At 41.6% G+C, this 19,825-nt stretch overlaps 2 protein-coding genes across 10 annotated transcripts in view, besides 1 other annotated feature; one reads left to right on the top strand and one right to left on the bottom strand.

Moving 5' to 3' along the window:
* The window catches only part of ADGRF5 (adhesion G protein-coupled receptor F5), a 102,418-nt gene extending 94,872 nt beyond the window's left edge, over positions 1 to 7,546 (top strand). For 7 of the 9 annotated variants that reach the window (XM_047418326.1, NM_015234.5, XM_005248893.4 and 4 more), the window contains 5 exons: positions 545 to 1,939; positions 3,160 to 3,201; positions 3,291 to 3,350; positions 4,010 to 4,094; positions 5,997 to 7,546. In XM_047418326.1, coding sequence (XP_047274282.1) covers positions 545 to 1,939; positions 3,160 to 3,201; positions 3,291 to 3,350; positions 4,010 to 4,094; positions 5,997 to 6,076 — 1,662 coding nt within the window. In that variant the 3' untranslated portion in view covers positions 6,077 to 7,546. Of the gene's footprint in view, positions 1 to 544; positions 1,940 to 3,159; positions 3,202 to 3,290; positions 3,351 to 4,009; positions 4,095 to 5,286; positions 5,354 to 5,996 lie in introns of all 9 variants that reach the window. The other 2 variants (XM_005248895.5, XM_005248894.5) reach the window with 2 other exon arrangements.
* Positions 12,663 to 13,227: an enhancer, noted in NCBI's record as "NANOG hESC enhancer chr6:46814578-46815142 (GRCh37/hg19 assembly coordinates)". NCBI's record gives its function as "activates a minimal SCP1, AML or CMV promoter by ChIP-STARR-seq in primed H9 embryonic stem cells {active_cell/tissue: H9 hESC(primed)}" and the evidence as "EXISTENCE:reporter gene assay evidence [ECO:0000049][PMID:30033119]".
* The window catches only part of MEP1A (meprin A subunit alpha), a 52,596-nt gene continuing 46,854 nt past the window's right edge, over positions 14,084 to 19,825 (bottom strand). Inside the window, exon 14 of the mRNA XM_011514629.3 lies at positions 14,084 to 14,528. Coding sequence (XP_011512931.1) covers positions 14,495 to 14,528 — 34 coding nt within the window. The 3' untranslated portion in view covers positions 14,084 to 14,494. The remainder of the gene's footprint in view (positions 14,529 to 19,825) is intronic.

Here is a 19,825-nt window from a genome sequence, read left to right as displayed (position 1 = left end):
GAGAAAGGGGACTGCAGCGGGGAGAGCAGTGGACAGCAGGAAAGATGTATCTCCACTTCCCAGGTCCAAGCAATTCTCCTGCTTCAGCCTCCCAAGTAGCTGGGATTACAGGCATTTTGGGAGGCCGAGGCGGATGGATCACCTGAGATCAGGAGTTCAAAACCAGCCTGGCCAACATGGTGAAACCCCATCTCTACTAAAAATATAGGCTTAAGATTTAAAATAAAATAAAATAAAATAAAATAAAATAGTAAATATCCCTGCCAGCCTGCTGAATTGGCCTTAGAGAGTAGGGTGTGTAGTGGGTGTGACTCTCACTGTCACCATTGCTAAATGCTTACTGGCATCTTTCAGTCTTGGGGACCCATCCTTTGCTAAACTCTGCCATAAGAAGGTCATACATCCCCACTGCCTGTGATGTCTCATTTTTGTTTTCTCATTTCCTCTTACCTTTATGCAATCAGTTTCTAGGAAGATGTTGTTTTTTTCTTTTTTATGATTGAAAGAATTTGGTTAGTTTGACCCCATACCATTTCACTTTCAGCACGTGCTCTCTACGGTTAATGTCATCCTTGGCAAGCCCGTCTTGAACACCTGGAAGGTTTTACAACAGCAATGGACCAATCAGAGTTCACAGCTACTACATTCAGTGGAAAGATTTTCCCAAGCATTACAGTCGGGAGATAGCCCTCCTTTGTCCTTCTCCCAAACTAATGTGCAGATGAGCAGCATGGTAATCAAGTCCAGCCACCCAGAAACCTATCAACAGAGGTTTGTTTTCCCATACTTTGACCTCTGGGGCAATGTGGTCATTGACAAGAGCTATCTAGAAAACTTGCAGTCGGATTCGTCTATTGTCACCATGGCTTTCCCAACTCTCCAAGCCATCCTTGCCCAGGATATCCAGGAAAATAACTTTGCAGAGAGCTTAGTGATGACAACCACTGTCAGCCACAATACAACTATGCCATTCAGGATTTCAATGACTTTTAAGAACAATAGCCCTTCAGGCGGCGAAACGAAGTGTGTCTTCTGGAACTTCAGGCTTGCCAACAACACAGGGGGGTGGGACAGCAGTGGGTGCTATGTAGAAGAAGGTGATGGGGACAATGTCACCTGTATCTGTGACCACCTAACATCATTCTCCATCCTCATGTCCCCTGACTCCCCAGATCCTAGTTCTCTCCTGGGAATACTCCTGGATATTATTTCTTATGTTGGGGTGGGCTTTTCCATCTTGAGCTTGGCAGCCTGTCTAGTTGTGGAAGCTGTGGTGTGGAAATCGGTGACCAAGAACCGGACTTCTTATATGCGCCACACCTGCATAGTGAATATCGCTGCCTCCCTTCTGGTCGCCAACACCTGGTTCATTGTGGTCGCTGCCATCCAGGACAATCGCTACATACTCTGCAAGACAGCCTGTGTGGCTGCCACCTTCTTCATCCACTTCTTCTACCTCAGCGTCTTCTTCTGGATGCTGACACTGGGCCTCATGCTGTTCTATCGCCTGGTTTTCATTCTGCATGAAACAAGCAGGTCCACTCAGAAAGCCATTGCCTTCTGTCTTGGCTATGGCTGCCCACTTGCCATCTCGGTCATCACGCTGGGAGCCACCCAGCCCCGGGAAGTCTATACGAGGAAGAATGTCTGTTGGCTCAACTGGGAGGACACCAAGGCCCTGCTGGCTTTCGCCATCCCAGCACTGATCATTGTGGTGGTGAACATAACCATCACTATTGTGGTCATCACCAAGATCCTGAGGCCTTCCATTGGAGACAAGCCATGCAAGCAGGAGAAGAGCAGCCTGTTTCAGATCAGCAAGAGCATTGGGGTCCTCACACCACTCTTGGGCCTCACTTGGGGTTTTGGTCTCACCACTGTGTTCCCAGGGACCAACCTTGTGTTCCATATCATATTTGCCATCCTCAATGTCTTCCAGGTGAGTTTTACAGTGCGGAGCTTTCAGGAAGATTTTATTCCTGTAGGACAAATTAATGATAGAAACACAAACAAGAGTAGGAATGGGGAAGGATTTCAGCCCAGAGGAAGCCTCAGCTCTAAAGAGCAGTAATAATGAGAACTCAATCAGATGGAAAGGACACATTCTTCTGATCCTATGGCACCTCATGCTTTTTATCACCTACATTATAATTTAGTGTCATTTGCCAGTCTCTGCTAAATACACTGATTACACTAGTAAAAGGAAAATCCCCATTTGTCTAAGATTATCTTGATGTAGTCTATTATCTCCTAAATGAAAATCCTGTCTTTGTGAGGACAGGGATTGCCCCTTTCTTGTTCATCACTATACCTCTATGCCTGATAGAGACCTTGGTACAGAGTAGGTTCTCAATAATCATTTGAATGAAATAAATCCTATGTACCACATAGCAGCTTCTCTGGAAACATCAAAAATCAGAGAATGAATGTCCTGTGAATGCCAGACAATCTGCTTGATTATACTACAATGAAAAAACATCTTCTTCGCTCTCCTGCAGCACATAACTAACTACAGTGCAGGCCAGTTTGTTAGAAGAACTATAACAGAGGTATAGATAGCAAGCCTTTAAAGTACAAGGAAGGAAGTGATTAATTCTGTTTCACCCAATGGAGAGGTGGTAAGGATAGAAAAAAACTTGCCCAAGGATTGAGGCCACTGTAAACTTGTGAAGAGGCAGAGGCTGGAGGCACACTCGAGATACTGCTTTCAGGATGCTTGTGCCAAGAACATATGAACCTTGATTTCTGCTACTGGGCCTGTGTCTCCAAGCTATGTAGTTCATATGTAATGACCTTCATGATATGCCTCATTTGGAAGGAACTAGTTATCCCACCCCATAGCCCAGATTCTTATCACAGCTATGTAAAGAATATTGTAGACACAAGAGGTGTATTAATAGCATAACCAACAGGACCTCCAGTTTTCAACTAAAGGAAAATTGGAAAATAGAAAATATCTTCCTAACATCATAACATTTAGAGTCCCTTGGTGTGGACCAAATGCCTGTCTTTGAACAGTATCATGTACTGGACTCATTCCATAAACTCAGAAGGAAAAAGAAGTAGTACAAATTTAACACCAGGTTAACAGTACTTCCTCCTTTGCTGGACAATAGACTATAATTAAAATGCACTTCTTTTCAATCTTTTTTTTCTCAGGGATTATTCATTTTACTCTTTGGATGCCTCTGGGATCTGAAGGTAAGAGCAATGACAGTTTCATGTTTCTAGAAAAGTCTGAAGTGCTTGTGGCATGTTGAAGTTACGATAGCTTCTTTTTAACAATGCAGGTACAGGAAGCTTTGCTGAATAAGTTTTCATTGTCGAGATGGTCTTCACAGCACTCAAAGGTAAACTTTTTCTCTGCAGAGACTTTTCATTTTATAACATCATGTATTCCACTAGCATTCTGAAGTACAGAGTACTAAATTTTTTCTTTGGGATTTTGATCAATTAGGCTAAATATATTGCATCCTCAAACCTGTCTCCCTCAACAGCTGTATTTGGCATAGATCATTCCATTGTTTTTGCTTCTCAAGTCATTCTGTCTATTAAATAGAGCCATAGAGCTGTCATTGAGATGCTACTCCACATATTTAAATAGGTTTTAAAATAATATATGATATAAACTTAAGGTTGAAATCAAACGTTCAATGAGAAGCAATCTTCTGGGGGGATTCAAGGCATTAGAGAAAACAAGTTGAAGAATAATAATGGATAGAATTTTCTGTAGTTCATTTTGGAACACAACTATTGCCCTTGGATATATCTGACTGCCTTTCACATGTCAGAAAATGCTAGAAGCCTAACAAACAATAAAACTTGTATTTGACAGTTATTTTTCTAATACAGATGATAAGATTCCAGTATTTTAATGTGACCTCTGGGAGTGGGACTAGAGATTCCGGCAGTGACCACTAGAGGGTGGAAAATCAATCCTTCTAGAGATGGAAACAGCTTTGGTCCCACAAATTTGCTTTGTGATTGTCCCTTTTTTTCTCTCTTCTAGTCAACATCCCTGGGTTCATCCACACCTGTGTTTTCTATGAGTTCTCCAATATCAAGGAGATTTAACAATTTGTTTGGTAAAACAGGTGAGTAGTGGCCTCCAGTTTCTCCCTGCTTGTCCAGAACACATTTGCTCAAATGGGGAGCCTCAACACCCCTACTCTTTCACCCCGCTCATGGCATTTACCTGAAATGTCCTCTTTTGGGGTAGAGGTTAAATAGAGGAACTTACATTTTCACAAATCACCAAAAAGTGGGTACAGAGGGCAGCTGCCTTTGCTAAGCAACTTATAATAACTCATAAAGAATAAGATTTGGAGAATCTAGACAATGATTTGGAGAGCTATCTGTCAAAATATCATCCATCAAAATGAGAACTGTAAATTGCTGGCCTTGTCAAACACAGAGTTCTTCTCAAATTATGTTAGATAAGAGTAGATAGGTCATGTTTCAGGGTTATGGGGCAGCAAAGAATACATTTAGAAAATCTTACTACAGGATCTCACTATGTAGGTTTGTTTTCCTTTTTTGTTCTTTTTATAAAGTGTGCTTGTGTTACACATTGAAGCGTATAGAACTGTGCATGCATTACGTAAGGGATCACCCAAGTTAGCTATTCTATTAGAAATATTACCTCTCTGAACTCACTTCCTCATTTATAAAATAGGGTAATAATTATGACTTCATAGAGTTGTAAGAATTAAATAAGCAAATATACATAAAGTGCTTAGTATGGTACATGGATTATAGTAATTACTCGGCATTCGTGATGACGCCGATAGTGGTAGTGGTGGTGGTGCTGCTGATACTTCAGTCAACCCTGCTATTATTGATTCAACTGGCAAAGGCCACAGTATCTCACTGAAAAAAAAATATTCACAGTTAAATTTCTACATTGGAGATATGAAATGAATGGAATTAATAACTTTGGGCAACAGACCTCAGCTATTCTAGCAAATTGAAACCCCTGTCCCCATGCCATCATCCCTTCCTCACAGGAAAATAAGCCCCAGGATTTCTTCTAGCTTTTTGGAACTGAACAGATCTCACAAATGCAGAGTTGAGAAATGCATCAATATTCCAGATGAAGGCTTTTCATATACAAGCAAATTTTGTGAATTCCTATAACTGTTAAAACTCCACAGGACTTGGGTTTTTTCTGCTTCAATTTGATGAATTACTTATGAAACTGGTGGACCTTCACTTCTGATTATGAAAGTCCCAATTGGGCATGTTTGGGGGCCCCATAAGCACCGTAACTTTGGTTTATGTTGTCAGCAGCCCCTAAGATCCCCCCAGGCCATGACGGAAACCTTGTTAGCGGTGGCAGTTCAGCAATCTGATGGTAGGGTGGGCACTTCAACCCTTTTCTTGCCCGACACACACTCTCTGCCCACTCCCTGTGCACAGTCCCCACCTCCCCGCAGACAAGCCTGTGCAGTTGCTCTGAGGCTGCCTTCCTTGCTGCGCTGATTCTCAGCAGTTCTGTTGACATTCCTGACTCCTGCTTCTTTTCTGGTCCTGCTTTTTCTCCCCCTATAATTTTCTCTTTCCTTTCCCTTTTCTCTCTTTACAAACCTCCACCTTCAGTAGAGCCTCTAGGTGCCTCCCAAGAGCTTCCCCAAGTCACCACAACCCAAGAGGACCAGGGAGATTCCCTCATGCAGATGTTCCCAGACCATGCATGTGATGGCATGTGCAGGGCTTTCCACCTTGAGATCTTCCTGTCCTCTGTAGAAACCTGGCTGCTGGTATGATGTGAAGTAGTGACTGCTTGTTGGCTGCCACGCATGCATGAGAACGACAGCTCTGTTAGTTTTCTGGCATTTCTGGGTCTTGGGAGGAGGGCAGGTATGGGTTGGTTTCCAGGCATGGCCGAGCTTACCTGGCACCTGGACCACTGCTCCCCTGGGTCCCTTAGGAGATGTTCACACCCCAGAGTTCATGATGGCTTGTCTTCAAGGCTGAGTTGCTGCTCTGTTTTTCAGGAACGTATAATGTTTCCACCCCAGAAGCAACCAGCTCATCCCTGGAAAACTCATCCAGTGCTTCTTCGTTGCTCAACTAAGAACAGGATAATCCAACCTACGTGACCTCCCGGGGACAGTGGCTGTGCTTTTAAAAAGAGATGCTTGCAAAGCAATGGGGAACGTGTTCTCGGGGCAGGTTTCCGGGAGCAGATGCCAAAAAGACTTTTTCATAGAGAAGAGGCTTTCTTTTGTAAAGACAGAATAAAAATAATTGTTATGTTTCTGTTTGTTCCCTCCCCCTCCCCCTTGTGTGATACCACATGTGTATAGTATTTAAGTGAAACTCAAGCCCTCAAGGCCCAACTTCTCTGTCTATATTGTAATATAGAATTTCGAAGAGACATTTTCACTTTTTACACATTGGGCACAAAGATAAGCTTTGATTAAAGTAGTAAGTAAAAGGCTACCTAGGAAATACTTCAGTGAATTCTAAGAAGGAAGGAAGGAAGAAAGGAAGGAAAGAAGGGAGGGAAACAGGGAGAAAGGGAAAAAGAAGAAAAAGAGAAAGATGAAAATAGGAACAAATAAAGACAAACAACATTAAGGGCCATATTGTAAGATTTCCATGTTAATGATCTAATATAATCACTCAGTGCAACATTGAGAATTTTTTTTTAATGGCTCAAAAATGGAAACTGAAAGCAAGTCATGGGGAATGAATACTTTGGGCAGTATCTTCCTGATGTCTTCTTAGCTAAGAGGAGGAAAAAAAGGCTGAAAAAATAGGGAGGAAATTCCTTCATCAGAACGACTTCAAGTGGATAACAATATTTATAAGAAATGAATGGAAGGAAATATGATCCTCCTGAGACTAACTTTGTATGTTAAGGTTTGAACTAAGTGAATGTATCTGCAGAGGAAGTATTACAAAGATATGTCATTAGATCCAAGTGCTGATTAAATTTTTATAGTTTATCAGAAAAGCCTTATATTTTAGTTTGTTCCACATTTTGAAAGCAAAAAATATATATTTGATATACCCTTCAATTGCCAAATTTGATATGTTGCACTGAAGACAGACCCTGTCATATATTTAATGGCTTCAAGCAGGTACTTCTCTGTGCATTATAGAATAGATTTTAATAATCTTATAGCATTGTATATTATTATTGCTGTTGTCACTGTTATTATTATTGTGGATACTGGCCCTTGGTGTGTTGCATAGCTCCCTATGTATTCTCTGTTTCCATCTTTAAGTTCCCAGACCAATATACATTAAGAGTTTTGCATGGTCTAAATTGTGTTTATTCCAACCACGTGGAAAGCTCCTGGAAAGAAATTTTACATTCGGTTGTTCTGTGCTCCTAATGACACTTGACCTTGTTGAACAAATGGCAGAGCCTTTCCCAAGGATTTGATTGTTTGTGAATTATCTGCATGTGTGCTTTTTTTTGGTGTGTATTTCATTAAAAAATATAAATATTTATGAAAATTGCACGCATATTAGAGTTAACCATGTACTATTGATACAGCAACGCTACATTGCAAATAAAAGTCCGATCCCAAAAGGAGAATGAGACAAAAATAGAGTTGTGGGGCTACTCAGGATGTGTGGGCCGTGTGGCAACATAAATGGGTCCAGTTGTTAGGAAGATGCGGCAAAAGAGGCTGAGATTCAACAGCCATTTCTTTATTGAGGTTCAAAGGAGTTTTCTTTTAATATTTTAACTCTTTAAAATATCTTCTTTTTATTTTTAGTTTTAAATTCTACTTAAATTCTACTTCTGCCTCTCTTTTCTTCATGGGGAAGGAGAGGTATGGGACAGAGGTGGGACAGTTAATGTAAATGAACTCTTTATTTCTACATATTCACAAATGACATAGACATCTACTCCCACATTTGCCTGAGAATTGTCACATCCCAGTCCCAAATGAATGGTGCATTACTGAACGTCCCTAAAGGAAATCATTGCTGTGCTATAAGTGCATGCCATGTTCTTCAGGAATGATCAACTTTGGGCAGAGCTTGGTACTAAGAAGATGGAGACAGAGGTTGGGTTGAGGGAAATCCCTTGAATTAGAATTAGAGAAAGAAGGCCGTTGACTGATTTGGTTCCTGGAGTTATATCAAGAAGAATCGAGCCAGGCTTGGAGCACAATGCTAGCAGGGCTATCTTGACATGATCAATCAAGGAAAGCACACAGTATCAGGAGCAGGATGTGGTTGTCATGTTCAAAAATTCAGTGGGACAAGAAACGCTGAACTTCCACCCACTTCAGCCAGGATCCCTTGGGGAATTACTGTGTTCAACCCTGTGAAGGGAACTTTCATTATAGCAGGAGCCTGTGGGAGTTACACAGGATGTGGATCTGGCCCACTGCTCCATTCGTTAACCGGGGCATGTTTCCTTATCCCCAACACACACAAATACACACATGCACACATGTGCACATACATGCATGCATGTGCTTCACCCTTTCAAGCCACAGCACTGGGTCCAAATTCCAGAAAAGCTATGAAAGCAAATAATTGGAGAAACACTTGTTGGTTTTCTGCGCACTGCAATACACATTAGCCCAGCCACTACCCTTTCCCAAGAAAATCCTAAAATCAACAGTAGAATTCAAAATTGTAGAAGAGCAGTTATGAAGCTGAGAATTTTATGAATGCAGGAGCCTCACTCGGCCCTGAGGTTGCCATCTCTCAATCAGCAATGATTACAAGGCTATTAGTAGCAGATTTCTGAGAATGAAGGCACATTAAGTTGTGCGATCTACTTTGTTCGTAAGGTGCCCAGTGCTTCCCTGTGTTCCTAACATCTCTCAGTGTATAAAGACCATTCCCTGGGCCTAAACTTTCTTGCATTAGGAGCTTTCCATTAAGTCCGTTTCTTGCAAAGGGCTTTGTCCTAATGCGTCAGAGTCTGTGAGGTTAGAACATTCACAAATGAGCAGTTAATACAGATTACAGGAATATTCTCTGGGAATATTCTAGGTCCAGACTAACACATCATCTCCTGAGTAAGCCAGATGTCTGCCATCCTCCTCCCCCATTTCTTATTGTTTGCATGGGGAAATGGTTAAATAAATGTCTGTGGGGTTTTCAGGATGTAGGTTGCTAAGGCCAGAAATTAAGAAAGACTGTGGGAAGTCACGGCCTTTTGTGGTTTGTACAGAAAATTTCAAAGAGACCCATGTTGGAATGCTTCAGAAAAAAAAAAAAAAGTTACATGGAGATGAGAAAGATTACAGCAATTAGCAAATATAGAAAGGAGGTGTGGGTGAGTTATTGAGGTGAATGAAGCAGGAAGTCACAATCATTTGAAGACAAAAAGAAATAGGTGGTCCTAGAAATGCCAGGTAGGCGGAATGCATTTATTTTGTGCCATGTGATGGTGAAGTCAAATAAGTCCTCATCCCAAAGAGAAAACCCAGTGACCCAGGCCAGTAAAAGCCTGATTCTTCAAGTGTTCAAAATGAAGGTGGAACTTACAGGGAACATACCTTTTGATTGTGTTTTTAAAAGGGCAACGGGAATGGTGTCTCATCATTTCAAGAGGACGGTAGTTTAGCTTTAATATTAGGTTCTGTTGGTTTCTAAAATTATGACTTGGGATTTAAAATCACATCATGTATGCCAGCACGCAGCTATGCTTCCTTTCCATTCCATAACAAGGAAATATCTAATGAGATCCCGTGAGCTGTCTTTGTAGTAATTGTCTGCCTTCTTGCAATGTGGTGCTGCTGCTGCTCAGGCTTCTGCATGTCACCCAGAATGCCCCTCCACTCTCCAAACAGCGAACGATCCTTTCTATCTTCCAGGCATGGGGGAGGCCGGCAGCTCGCCGCTGAACTCAACTGGCTGTCAGGGCTGATGGTTTCCCTCACCTCATCCACACTCCCAAGCCGTGTGCAAAGATCCAGCATGTTATAGAAGGTTTAAACAAGGGTCCTTGAAGTAAAGTTTTCAGAACCAAATGTCTAGCAAATAAACAGATGCCTGTTCCAACATTTGTGTGAGGATGACTCAAAATTTTCATTGACAGCTGAAAATAGAGCCCTCATGTCCTATAGATGAATATAAAGGATGTGAGGGCTCTATTTATCCTCTAGCACATTCTAGACGGAAACCAAGTTTCCCACTGTTAGTGAATGTGGAGTGGACAGAAGAAGAAAAGAGGGGAGATGGGCCAACTCCCGAAGCCCGCTCTGTGCCAGACCAGTTCTTATCTCCAAATATCATCTCTATGTGTTAGCGGTGGGCGTGGGGGCCTTGGTCGTGGTGTCCTACGATTCAGACACAGCCGTCCTGTCTATTCTTAAATGATTTTATACACACCCATTTTTCCCCTTTTACCTGTAAACTTTGAAATGAAGTTGAAAGGCCACCAGTGTCCATGACAGGTCCCTCTGCACACATGGGGCATGGTTAGGAGATACATGAGCCTGTTCCCACTGCAGGGTTTTTATTCTCTCATGCAGAGCCAAGTGAAGGATGCCGGTGACTATTGAAGCCCAAACACAACAAACCCAGAAGCCTGGGGGGAAAAAAATGGCTTTATTCTCAGCATGAAAGGCAAGAGGACCTGACTGGGCAAGTGGTGGGCAGATTGCTGTCACGGCCCACTTCCGATGACATTAAACCGCAAAACCTAGGAATGACTTTGGGCCCTGCCTTTTTCGGATTTTGATTTTTACCATCCTGGGTCTTCCATCCTGCCAGCCAGCCGGCACCCCAGCAGTTGTGGGAAGAGGAATTTGACTTTGATTAACCGAGAAAAACTGTGCACCCGTTTTCTGTTTTTTTCTGGAACTGTGAGGGTTTTCCCATGCCCCAGGGGCTCCCTCACAGTTGTCCTATGCCAAGCATTCCCGACAGGAATCTCCAGCTGGGTTGGAGTGACAGCTGGCCTCCAGCACCGCAGCTCCGCAACCACCGCTGGCGTCTCCTGAGGCTCGCGCGCCCCCTGCTGGGCCTGAGAGGAGGCGTCCCCGCTGCGGTCCGGCCTCAGGAAGCCGGCGGGAGGCAGTCAGTCCCGCGGATGACGCGCCCAACGGTCTAGGTTCAGGAAGTAATTTGATCATATGGACAGAGCGAAGGTCAAGGCATAGTGGATAACAGAAACCAGGAATGAAAAAAATCTCTTTCACTCCCGCCTCCTAACACTTTTATATTATGATCCTTGCAGGGGAAAGGGTAGTCAGAAAGCAACGTAGGACTGTGGAGGGAGGGAAATCCCAGTCATGTAGTTTCAGTGTGTGAAAGGCAAAGGAAATTTCAGGCCCCCAATTCACTATGCAAAAAGGAAAAAATTAAGATGGAAGCTAAGTCATGCAAGAAACAGCCTTTTCCTTCTGTTGCTAAGCGAATAGCTAACAGATGAAAGGCCAGATATCTCCACAGATAGCTACGCTAGGTTCACCTTTTATGTAAAGTGCCGATTTACTGAGATGAATACATCACTGACTATTCCCCTACCTGCTCCTTTTCTCCTGCAATGCATGGATTATGCATTGTGACCATACCCTCCCTCTTCGCCTCCACTTTTCCCCTTTAAATACTGAAGCCCTCAAAATATCTTTGCAGAAAAACGGACCACAGACTGTCTCTGTGATTCTGTGTTCCTTTCTTCCAGTCGTGTTCTTAACCTTGGCAAAATAAACTTCTAAGTTGATTGAGACCTGTCTCAGAGACTGTTCGGTTTACAAGTGTGCATTGCACATCCACAGGCAGGCATACATTTCTGAGGCATACTCGCTGGGATAGCTCCTTCCTTTCTCTGTCCCCCCTCACTGACTGAATCTCATTTATGGCACTAACAACAAAACTGAAAGCCCCAGAAATGATCTGGTTCACCCATTCCAGATAGGTTGCTGGAAGGTCGTTTGAGGAAGAAAAATGGGTGCCTTCCATGTTTCATGGGAACCTAATACTTTTTCTATCAAGGCAGCTGCAAAAGGATTAACATAGGTGGCCCTATTCCCTTTCCTAATTCATCCATTCAAAGCCACTGCTGGCCTGGATTTTCATTTTCAATCCATGATGAATCTGCAGATGAATCTGCAGCTATCCCAGGGCAATCTGACAGACCAGCCAGCAGCTGAGGCTGGATGACAAGTTCCTACCCTAGCCTCTGAGCACACATTGCTAACGTGTGATCCGAGAAGACCCAGGTCCTTGGAGTAGAGGGACAAGCTGAAATGGCCTTAAGTAATAAGGCAGACAGCTTCCCAGTTTGGGGGGATGTCACGCACCTTGGCCTGTTGCTCCTATCCCCTCGGAATAGCTCTCACACCTTCTCCCTCATGTTGGACATTCCTTTTACAAAAACAGAAATCTCAAGGACAGATAAGGTTAAGAAGGTTAATCTCAGGTTAATCTCAAGGAGAGAAAAGGTATGCAAATATACTTCTGGGTGAAACACAGTAACTTAAATTTACCCTCGAATGAAAATGGCTGGTAACTATATAACTATGTTAACCAACAGTTTTTGAGCCCTTGCTGTGTACCTGGTCCTGTTCTAAGATTTTTATGTGTATAATTTCATTTAAACTCTACAGCAAACCAAAAGTAACTAAATATTCTTTTTCTTTGCATTTTTAGACGAAAAAACTAAGCACAGAGAGGTAAATAACTTGTCCACAGTCACACAGCTGAGGACCAGTAGAACCAGGATCTAAGTGCAGTGTCTGACCTAGAACATGGGCATGTATCCACCTCCTTATGTTGCTTCTCTATGCAACCTGATGCCAGTTACTTGCTTAAAAGTAGGCTTCCATAGCAGGAAAAGTTTCAAATGCACAAAATGAGAGGGGAGAACAATGGTGACAGAGAGGGTGGAGGAGTTAAGGCATCTCCCAGCTTCATCTCACTTTATAATTCTACCTTGGGGCAGCCCAGGACATAAAGACCAATGTTCTGGGCAAACTTCAGAGTGTGCCTGCTTCCTTTTTAAGTCTCTGATGAAACATCAAAGAATTCCTGCTGTGCTGCTTTATTGAAAGTAGTTCTCAACTTAGCTATCTCAACCCCCCAGCTTGAGTCTTCATTCAAGTGAGCTTCTTGTAAGGTCTCAATCACCAGTGTTGTTGTTTTTATTTTCATCTCGGATCTATCAAGAATTCTCAGAGTGTTGGATGGCATTTAGACATGTAGGAAGAAAATATGGCTTCCCAGAAATGAAGAGTGATTCTGAGGCTATGTTTAAACATATCAAGTGGAGAATTGGGACATTTGTCCTAATACATTTAGCTAAGTCATGATTTTCCTTATGATATGCAGACTGAAACAGCAGCTGATTTGCTACTTGAATGCTTTGCACTCTTTGCTTCATTTTGCATGGACAGGTGTATTGGGCTGTTCTTCAGCATTGATTGACAGCCAGTTTGGTAAATGTGGTACGGTGGTTAAGAGCATTGGTTCTAGAGCCAAACTGTGTGCTTTTCAATTGGAGGTCCACCACTTATTAGTTTGACTTTTGGTAAAATAACTCTTTCTGCCTCAATTTACACTACTTGAAAGGAGATAATAATGGTACAGGCTCCATGGGTTGTTATAAAATTCTTATAAAGCCTACAAAATCATATCTGGCATGCAATTATTGCAGAATAAAGTTAGCCTTTATTATTTTGCATCATACTGTGTGTGCATAAAAATTATAGTAGATATGTATCATACACACATATATACATCACGCATCACGACTTAGCCAAATTAGGGCAAATGTTTCAATTCTCCACTTGATATATTTAAACACAGCCTCAGAATCACACTTCATTTCTGAGAAGTCATATTTTCTTCCTATGTGTCTAAATAATATCCAACACTCAGAATTCTTGATAGATCTTGGTAGAACTCAGATTTAGACACCAGTTCTATTCAGAATCAAACTACATATGCCTTTTACATTTTCACATTTAATTCATGGTTAAGAGCTTTTGAGAGTAACGTCAAAGGTATGTGACATCCTAAATCATAACTTTATCAAGGTTTGAGTTTAAATCATGCTTATTAGGAAGCCAGAATGGGTGAATAATTCACATAACAAGTTTGTGAGCCTGGTTAACTTCCCCATGTCTGCATTTCAAATCAGTTTTGGTAATCGTACATATTACATAATTTTATTTAATTTTCAAACTAATTTCATTATTTCTTTTCTTTACAGATAAGCCAATTATGCACTATAACAGTGGTGTTAATTAAGGCTTTCTCAGTTACAGGTAACAGAACCACATTCAAACTAGTTTAAGCAAAAGTGGGCACTTACCATATAATGGGAAAGATACTAGATTGGTACACCTTCAGGTACAGCTAGATTCAAGGGCCCAAACAGTGTTCTCAGAGTTCTGGCTCTTCCTTTTATGTTGTTGTCTCTCTTAGTGTATTTATTTCATTCCAAGGTAGATCTTCAAAGGAGAGAAATTTATGAGGTCCACAGACCCATAGATTGAGATTTAAAAAGAAGACCAACCCTTTTCTTCTCCAAATGTTCATGTGTATGTGGCAGTACAGGGTATCATGATTGGCTTAGTCTAAGCCATATGCTGGCCCTGTAGAAATAATTATATCCATTAGGATCATGTTTTCTGTGAGTACCAGACGTTCAAAATAACGGTGACTTAAAGTAGAAGTTTATTTCTCTAATACAGATAAGCAGCCCAAGACTGGTGTGGCAGCCTGGCTCAGTGCAGTTCTCAGAAATCCAGATACTTTCTATTTTTTAACCTGCTTTTCCCAAGGCCACCACGTGGCCCCATTTGGCAGCTCTCACTCTGGCCATTATGTCCCGTTATCAGTCATTAGGATAGAGGAAGGGACTGCAGGTGTGCACCAAGACTCCTTTAGGAAAGGTTCCCAGAAGATCACATGCAACATTCCTGCTTCCATTCCATTGGCCTGAATTTGATCACACTACGTCACTGTATCAGTCTGTTTTCACACTGCTATAAAGAACTACCTGAGACTGGGTAATTTATAAAGGAAAGAGGTTTAATTGACTAGCAGTTCTGCAAGGCTGGGGAAGCCTCAGGAAACTTACAATCACAGTGGAAGGCAAAGGGGAAGCAAGGCACGTCTTACATGGTAGCAAGACTTGAAGGTGAGAGAGCAAGGAGGTTTGCCACACTTTAAAAACATCAGCTCTCATGAGAACTCACTTACTATCACAAGAACAGCATGGGGGAAACCACCCCCATGATCCAATAACCTCTCACCAGTTCCCTCCCTCCACACATGAGGATTACAATTCAAGATGAGATTTGGGTGGGGACACAGAGACAAACCATATCACCCATCTACCTGCAAAGGAAGCAGGAGAATGTAAACTAGACTCTGAGTAGCCATTTGACCAGTTGGAGTTTGGGGATTCTATTACTGAGAAAAGAAGAATGGATGTTGGTGACCATTTTTGTTGGGGGCTGGTATCTGAACATCTCCTCTGCCTCCTGCTCTCTTCTCATGCCTTTCTTATGACCCCATTTTTCTATTCTCCTTTTATTCTCTTGACCAGATAGGATCTTTAAATGTTTTTAATGATTTTCATTGAGCTGGTGAGCCACACATGGGTCAATTTGTCCTACATTTGTCTAGGCCCTAAGGTATGCTGTGACCCAGATGAGGCCCATGTCTCAATCCATTCTGGGATTCCAGGACTAGTTCTTGGTAAAACTGTGGAAGGCAAAGAGAGATGGGTCTTGTCTTTACTCTGATATCACTGTTAGCTGCAACTCTTACACACATACACACACACACACATCTGTTGGGCTGCCCTACCCATATCAAATCTTTCCTATCATATTTTTTCACATCAGTACTCATTAGAGGTCACTGGCACCTGACTCCATTATCTCCCATCCCCCATTCATTAGAGTTATCAAGAGTTTGCTAAATGACACTCACAGCTACAGGATAACTATAAATCTTTTCAAACTTTTCTTTGCTTAGAGACTTTTGAAAAACATATTTATATTAAAACTGACATAAGAAAGATGTTTTAACCATATTTATAAGCATATAGAAATTTGAGTAGGTGACTAATTATCCATAAAACTGATATACCTAATAAAGAAAACCAAGTAAAAAAGAACTTTACATAGTGTTCCATATAGATTAGCCTACATTTTATAGCACCTTCCAAACCTCTAATCTTATTAAGGTTTTCTGTAGTCAAACAAGAATAATAGATTCTGCTATTAAGTGGCTCTGTGACCTGCCTAAGGCACTTAGCCTCTCCAGAATTGCCTCAGTTTACCCAAATACAAGAGGTGGACTTCAGAATCTCTAAAATTTAATCAAGCCATAAAACAGATGATATAATTCATGAGAAAGGCAGAGCTCAAGAAGGGAAGGTGTGAGATCCATCTGTAATTTGCTTGTGAATGCCTCCATATAGGAAATACACTGTATACAGCCTGCAGGGGGACTAAATCCACACCCTGGGGGAGGTTAAATAGTATGCAAAGTATTCTGAAAAGGAACACACACTCCAATAGCAGTTAGTTAGTATTTGAAAGATCCTATCAAAAGTCTCTACTGGAAAAATATCTGTTGCAAAACTTTAAATATTTCTATAGCAAGCTACACCAGAGGGTTTGTTATTAGTATAAAGGATGCTTAAAATAATTTTTGCATTGGTTAAATACAATTATCAAGACAGCTATAGGTACAATACTCTGGCAGGCCCAGTGAACTAACTTTTGGGGTAGAACCTTAGACTAGAACTCTGTTTGGTCCTAGTTTTCCCTCACTTAATACAAGGTTTCATTGGCTGATCCAACTAGAGCAGTGATTCCTGATAAGTAATGATTTTGCCCCTCAGGGGGACATTTGTCAATGTCCTAGAGATTTGGGGTTGTCACTACTGAAGAAGTGTGCTATGAGCATCCAGTAAGTAGAGGCCAGGGATGCCACTAAACATATCACAATGCAGAGAACAGCCCTCACAGAAAAGAATACCCACCTCAAAATATTACCAGGGCTGAGGTTCAGAAACCCTAAGGTAGAGTTGACAGATCTTGGCCTTCAGATTATTTGACTGTATGTGTCTAGAATGAACCTTTAATCCAAGAGGCTTGGAGGTGGAGCACTTAAAAGGACAGAGCAGAGACTTCCCTACACCTACAAAACAGGTTGGATGGCTATTTGTGGGCTTGATGGTTTATCAGGGGAACTAGACCCCAATATTTCAACGTAGGTTCTATTTTCCCTAAGTGTTGGCTGGTCTGAGAAATAAAGAGAAAGAGTACAAAGAGGAATTTTACAGCTGGGCCTCTGGGGGTAACATCACATATCAGTAGGTCCGTTATGTCCCCTAAGCTGCAAAACCAGCAAGTTTTTATTAGGGATTTTAAAAGGGGAGGGGGTATACAAACAAGGAGCAGGTCACAAAGATCACATGCTTCAAAGGGCAATAAAAATCACAAGGCAAAGGCAAAATTAGAATTACTGATGAGGGTCTATGTCCCACTGTGCACGTATTATCTTGATAAACATCTTAACAGAAAACAGGGTTTGAGAGCAGAGAACCAGTCTGACCAAAATTTATCAGGCTGGAATTTCCCAATCCTAGTAAGCCTGAGGGTACTGCAGGAGACCAGGGCATATTTCAGTCCTTATCTCAACTGCATAAGACAGACACTCCCAGAGCAGCCGTTTATAGACCTCCCCCCAGGAATGCATTCCTTCCCCCAAGGTATTCCTTGCTGGGAAAAGAATTCAGCGATATCTCTCCTATTTGCATGTCCATTTATACGCTCTCTGCAAGAATTAAAATATGGCTCTATTCTGCCCGACCCCACAGGCAGTCAGACCTTATGGTTACCTTCCTTTTTTCCCTGAAAATCGCTGTTATTCTGTTCTTTTTCAAGGTGCACTGATTTTCTTATTGTTCAAACACACATGTTTTACAATCTATTTGTACAATAATGGTCCTGAGGTGATGTACATTCTCAGCTGACAAAGATAATGGGATTAAGAAATTAAAGTAAAGACAGACATAAGAAATTATAAGAGTATTATTAGGGAAGTGATAAACATCCATGAAATCTTCACAATTTATGTTCAGAGATTGCAGTAAAGACGGGCATAAGAAATTATAATAGTATTAATTTTGGGAACTGATAAATGTCCATGAAATATTCACAATTTATGTTCTTCTGCTGCGGCTCCAGCTGGTCCCTCCATTCGAGGTCCCTGACTTCCCGCAACAATGGTTAACAAATATGAAGGTGTAGCAGAATTTAGTTTAAATCTTGATTCATTTCAACATCATCAGAGAGGGGGTTAGAGTTCCCATCCACTTCTAATTATCAGAGGCTCCAGATATTACTGAAAGAACCTGACATTTGTGAATGGCCAGATTGGCTCAGGTCAGTTCACAGAAGGAAAGGATGCAGATGGGGATGTATCGAGGATATGGTGGGGGAAGCATGAGACATTCTCAAATTTTCAAGCCACTATGACTTATTCCCACTATGTAAGATTAAAGAAGTCAGACACTCAGATTCAGGGAGGATTTCCCACATTTTTCATGTTGCTCATCTAAATCCTGAATTCCACACTGCCTAGAGATTATGAAATGCTTAATTTCTACCTACTCCCCACCCTACATGCCCTCTGCCATCACCATCCCAACATCTTAAAAGAATAAAGTATCTGCTAGTCCTCCTGGAATTATTGAGGGTTTGGGCTCAAAGAAAAGCTGAATAACATGTCAGATTTACAGTGAGCCAGACCATTAATCAATCAACAGAGGTTTCCATTAATCAATCAACAGAGGTTTCCATTAATCATCAAAAGTGATAAACATAGATAGTAGGCATGGTGCTGGTTGAGAATCTAGAGAGAAATAAATATCAAAATGCTTTACCCTCATTCTGGTACCTCCTTATCATTATTTTGACCTAGCAGTTTTAATTTGGAGTACTAGATGAAAATACTAGGTTATCTTTGAAATTTTAGCTTCTGCTTCCTCCAGAGAGAAACTCATGTATTTAAGAAATGTTGTCATTGGTTTGGGCTTGGGGCCTTTCCATGTGTGACAGACCACAGCATGCTCCTTTTAATAAAACAAAAGGACAATAACAGCAGCAGCAGCAACAAAGCCTAGAGTTCACTTCTGAGGTCAGATATTGAGCAGAGTGTTAAGGGCATGGCTTTCTTTAGGCCTAACTCTGAGGTTAGTGGAGGGTTTGCAGGACTGTGAAGCACAGCGAGAAACAAAGCTGAAATCCATTTCCAATCTGGTCTTTGGAGATAATACAACTGGGCTGGTGACAGGATAGCTTCCTATCTAGTCTGAACATTGAATAGTAATATTTTCATACATATTAAACTCTAAGATAGGTTCATATTCATTATCCCATTGTATTACTCTGCTACTCTGTAAGTGGTAAAGTCATGTGGAAGGAGATAGTCAGCTATTATTTCCATTTGACAAGTTAGTAAACTAAGATCAAGAGCTTAAATGATTTCTTACTAAAATTTACCCAGCTAGCTGGATGGGCAATCCAAGCCTGCAGCCAGGATGCTTGGCTTCCAGACCTGTTTTCTATCCACTAGAGCAGTGGTTCTCAAGGTGTCTGTGAGGTGGAGGTTGTGGGGGAGTCAGTAGCAGTAGCAGCATGGCCTGGAAACCTACTAGATTCTGGCACATTCTTATATCTTGTTAGATTCTGGCACATTTAAGAATGCACATTCTTAGATCCCACCCTAGATCTACTGACCCAGAAACTCTGGGTGTAGGGCCTTGTAATCTGTTTTAATCAGTCCTCCCTGGGATACAGATGCACCTGAAGTTTGAGAGTTATTGCCCTCAGGGGTGCTGTTTTCACTCGCTACAAATTGTTCC

Source organism: Homo sapiens, chromosome 6 (assembly GCF_000001405.40).
Source record: "Homo sapiens chromosome 6, GRCh38.p14 Primary Assembly".
Classification (NCBI taxonomy): Eukaryota; Metazoa; Chordata; class Mammalia; order Primates; family Hominidae; genus Homo; species Homo sapiens.
Note: the sequence above shows the minus strand (reverse complement) of the source record. Positions and strands in the feature narration are given on the sequence as shown.